The sequence below is a fragment of the Homo sapiens genome, chromosome 6 (assembly GCF_000001405.40).
Source record: "Homo sapiens chromosome 6, GRCh38.p14 Primary Assembly".
In the NCBI taxonomy this organism is placed as follows: Eukaryota; Metazoa; Chordata; class Mammalia; order Primates; family Hominidae; genus Homo; species Homo sapiens.
The window spans coordinates 10,311,553-10,316,001 of NC_000006.12; the positions used below are offsets into that span (position 1 = coordinate 10,311,553).

The 4,449-nt window shown below is 42.6% G+C and overlaps 1 annotated feature.

Annotated features, from left to right (window-relative positions):
- Window positions 3,410-4,131: an enhancer, noted in NCBI's record as "OCT4-NANOG hESC enhancer chr6:10315195-10315916 (GRCh37/hg19 assembly coordinates)". NCBI's record gives its function as "activates a minimal SCP1, AML or CMV promoter by ChIP-STARR-seq in naive and primed H9 embryonic stem cells {active_cell/tissue: H9 hESC(naive and primed)}" and the evidence as "EXISTENCE:reporter gene assay evidence [ECO:0000049][PMID:30033119]".

Sequence of the window (4,449 nt, forward strand, 5' to 3'; positions counted from 1 at the left end):
CATTTAGTTGGATGTACTGTTTCCAAACAAATGCATTCCAACAACCACTTGCATTTCTATTACTCTGAATTAATTGATCAGAGCATGAAGTGGGCGCTGAGAAAGGTGAGAAGCTACGCTTGTTTTGTTTCACAGATTTCCATACAAAATGAAATTTCAGGCCAGGAGCGGTGACTCATGCCTGTAATTCCAGCACTTTGGGAGGCTGAAACTGGAGGATCGCTTGAGCCCAAGAATTCAAGACCAGCCTGGGCAACATAGTAAGACCTCATCTCTACAAATAATTTTAAAAATTAGCTGCGTGTGGTGATGTGTGCCTGTGGTTCCAGCCACTCAGGAGGCTGAGGTAGGAGGATCACTTGAGCCCAGGAGGTCAAGGCTACAGTAAGCAGTGATCATGCCACTGCACTCCAGCCTGGGCAACAGAGTGAGATCCTATCTCAAACGAAAAAAAAAATGAACTTTAATATTTGGTTGTGTTTATTGTTGCATGATCTCTAGGAAAACTTTCCAAAAAAAAAAAAAAAAAGGGTAAGGAAAGACAAACTGAACTTCTGTTTCACGTGTCTGAAAAACTCCCACCTTTGGGACATTTCTGAGCAATACTTAAAAATGTTCTAGGCTGGGTGCGGTGGCTTATGCCTGTAATCCCAGCACTTTGGGAGGCCAAGGCAGGTGGATCACTTGAGGTCAGGAATTCGAGACCAGCCTGGCCAACATCCTGTCTCTACTAAAAACACCAAAAAAATTAGCCAGGTGTGGTGGCGCATGCCTGTAGTCCCAGCTACTAGGTAGGCTGAGGCAGAAGAATCGCTTGAACCCAGGAGGCGGAAGTTGCAGTGAGCTGAGATCGCGCCACTGCACTCCAGCCTGGGCGACAGAGACTCTGTCTCAAAAAAAAAAAAAAAAAGAAAGAAAGAAAGAAAGAAATGTTCTATAAGCAGAATCACTGAAACAAAAATCAATCACATTCATTTCATACGCTAAATATAGTCAGTGGTTTTTACCAGCTTTCTTTAGAAAATAAATGTATCTTCAAAGGGAGCTGCCGCAGCCAGGGAGTCCGCTGAGTGAGTAGGTTTACTTTGTGGTCTCTGTTTTACCGCGGAGAAAATGGCTAATCTGAGTTTCGAATTACAGCGCTTCCTTCCCAGGAACCCTACCTGCTTTTAGTCTGGTGCTCAATTTGCACGAACTGTCGCCGCTGTTTGTTGATATGGCTTCCATATTCAGAAACCCCACATACTACTCAAGACTAGGAAGCACGTCATAGCCTGCCCTGATTTTAAATAAAGTTTTACATTTTGCTTTGATAGTATAGGATACTATATTCCCTTTCCTGAGGTTGGGAGTTCGAGACAAGCCTGGCCAACATGGTGAAACCCCGTCTCTACTAAAAATACAAAAAAATTAGCTGGGCGTGGTGGTGGGCGCTTGGAGGCCGAGACCGGAGAATCATTTGAACCTGGGAGGTGGAGGTTGCAGTGAGCCAAGATCACATTGCACTCCAGCCTGGGCGACAAGAGCAAAACTCGGTCTCAAAAAAATCAAAAAAATAAAAACAGAAAGGACCCAGTTTTTCAAGTGTAGTCAATTTTATCCAGCCTCAAAATTTTTATTTTATTTTACTTATTTTTTATTGCTCCTTATGGGGCAGGGCTACCCCATAGGCAGTGTCCCCAGAGTAGCACAGCCTCAAAATATTAAGAAGTACTTACCTTACTCATTTCTAAGACCAATTGTATTCCTTTTCTCTTCATGCACAGAAATCTTGTATAGAGAAGTAGTTTCACATTGAAACACTTTATTCAAAATATTTTAAATTCTAAGTGGCCTCATGGACATTTTAATACGTGACATTTATAAGACAAATCAGACTGTAAGCTTCTAGCAGACCAAGAATAGGCAGATGTATTAGTTTCTATATTATATTTAACAGTGTCATATAGTTAAGTTATTACTAAATAGTGATTGCATTAACAGGACCCATGCTATTATCTAGTGCCTCCTTAGGTTTGACAATGTTTTCCTTTTCTGTAATGAACTACAGATCTGGCTTGCACATGATTTTTACAATTTTAGCTTTGATTTCAGAAATGTACATGTTTAAGAATAAATTAAATAGCTGCAAGTCCATAAAAAAATCTGTGTGTGTGTTTGTGTGTGCACTCCCATAAACTTGCTTTAAGACCAGCAGACTGAGGCCCTTGAGATTTTAATAAATATGTCCAGGGTCATATAATTGTTGGTTACTTTGGTTCATCTAATAATGAAAACATAACTCTCATTCTTTGTGTTCTTACAATACTTTTCAGGGTCTCAGAGCTCTTTCCCAAGAGTGTTTCACACCTGCTTGTTTGCCCTCAGCCTCGGTGGCGGAGCAGATCCCTCCAAGTAAACAGCTACATCCCCACGGTGCCTGTAACAACTCACAAAGCGTGCAGTCCCTAAACCCCACTCCGAGGAAGGCCCTTAAACTAAAGCCACTCCCATGTAATTCACCCTTGGTAGAATCTAAGATCAGTCTCTGTTGCCATCAGTTTCACTGTAGGGTAAATAATGTTTGAGTTCCTGGAAATGTCTCCTTATTTTCTGTTCTTGCAGTTCCACGAATAAGTATCCCAAAATAAGGGCAAAACATGAGCATTTTGAAAACATTTGTTTTCCAACCTGCCGGCTGCATTTTCCACCAAGGCATTGGACACGCACTCTGACTGAGCCCGCACATTCCCCACAGGCCAACTGCCTTTGACGTCAGTGGGAGCTTGGCCTTCTCGAAGACAGAGGCAAAGATAATATTTGCAAAGTCAGCTTTGCAAAATTCAGCTTTTCTCCGCTTTGCTGCAGATTGAATGATAAGCCTGGGACCAGCAGAGATAACGTTTCACAGGGGTTTCCCTATCTGGACCCTCCTACCAAATTCGTGGAAATCAGTCTTTAAGAAAACCGGACGAGCCACTCATAATGGCCTGGCCACCACACCTGTCTGATAGCATCTCAGCTACTCCCTTCAAAGACAACAACGGGGTAGCAATTTTTTTAAATGCCTCTGTTACAATACAGTATATTTTACTCACTGCACCAAAATGTCAGCACAATGGAAAACAGATTGTTTACGCTGACCCAAGGATAAATATTTACGAGCCAGCAAATACAAACCTTGTCAAAGTCGACTGGTCAACAAGCAATCTTCCAGGAGAGGGACCCATTTTATGAAGGGTGTGTACTTTCTGACGTCAGCCATTTTGCAAGGGGACATTTGGGGACACTGTTGTCAAAAAGAATCCTCCGTTTCACGGGCTACATAGCAGCAACTGCCATACCAAATATCTTTTCTGCCATTCCTGAATCTCAGACAGAGACTTCTCTCTCTAGAAATAAAGACAGTCTAGGGGAAAAAACAGTGGTGGAGAGATAAAATCTTTAAAATGTTGCATTAGGAGTTCTTCTCTTTTCCTCCCTTTACTTTGTGTGAGGACAGTGACTGCCGCAGCTAGCCGCTCCCTCAGCCACCCTGAATGTATAGTTGCCTCCAGTGCCCCAGGGCCAGAAGAGATTTCTTTACGGGAGATGCAATCAGCTCTAACCAATCAGTAAGAAGGGTTAATCAGCTGATCGATTGGTCCCTGAGCAGCTGGGACCTGGCTCCTCTCTGACTGGCTCTAGCCTGGCCTTGGGGTAAGAGGTTGGGAACTTTTAATTATCCACAGCAGCCACTGCTCTGATTGAATGGTCAATGGGTTTACTACTGAGGCGGCGCTGCTTGAATAATAATAGAAAACAATGTGGATGCCGGCAAGTGCAAACAGAGGGCCAGAAAAGGCACTTGGATATGTAGAATGCACGTTAAGATGAGTTAATTGCCTGGCAGAAACCAAATTTCAAAGGTCTTGAAAGGTGTTTTATGGAAGCAGAGTAGATGCTTGGGGAGGCATCAGCGAGATCACATTTTTTTCTTTTGTGACTCTTGGGTCTGTGACCATTGCTGGCTACACAATGTTGCCCCAGGACAAAGGATAACTTGCTTACCCCAGTGGTTAAAGAAATGATCACTGGAGGAAATCTGTATTTTGACATTTGCAGGCACTGTCAGGGTTTAATTATTTTTCTTTGTAAACTTCCTTGAAAAATAATCATTCCCTAGTTCCACTATGTAAGATGTGCTCATGGGGTGGGGAGGTTGGGTGGCATAATTAAATCATGCCAAGAAATATAGCGTTAACACCCAAAGGTTTTTAAAAGCTTTGTTCGACTGTGTGTTGTGGAGATCTTTCTACTTCACCCTCCCTAAGCAGAATAAATCATCAATCCAATAACTCACTACAATATGCTGATCTTTCCTTTCCCGGGTTAAACAGCTCACTCGTAGTGGTTCCTTCTTCCCTTGAACATAAAAACCAACAAGTGCCTCCAAATAAAAATGGTATTTGTGTTCAAGTCCTCTGAGAG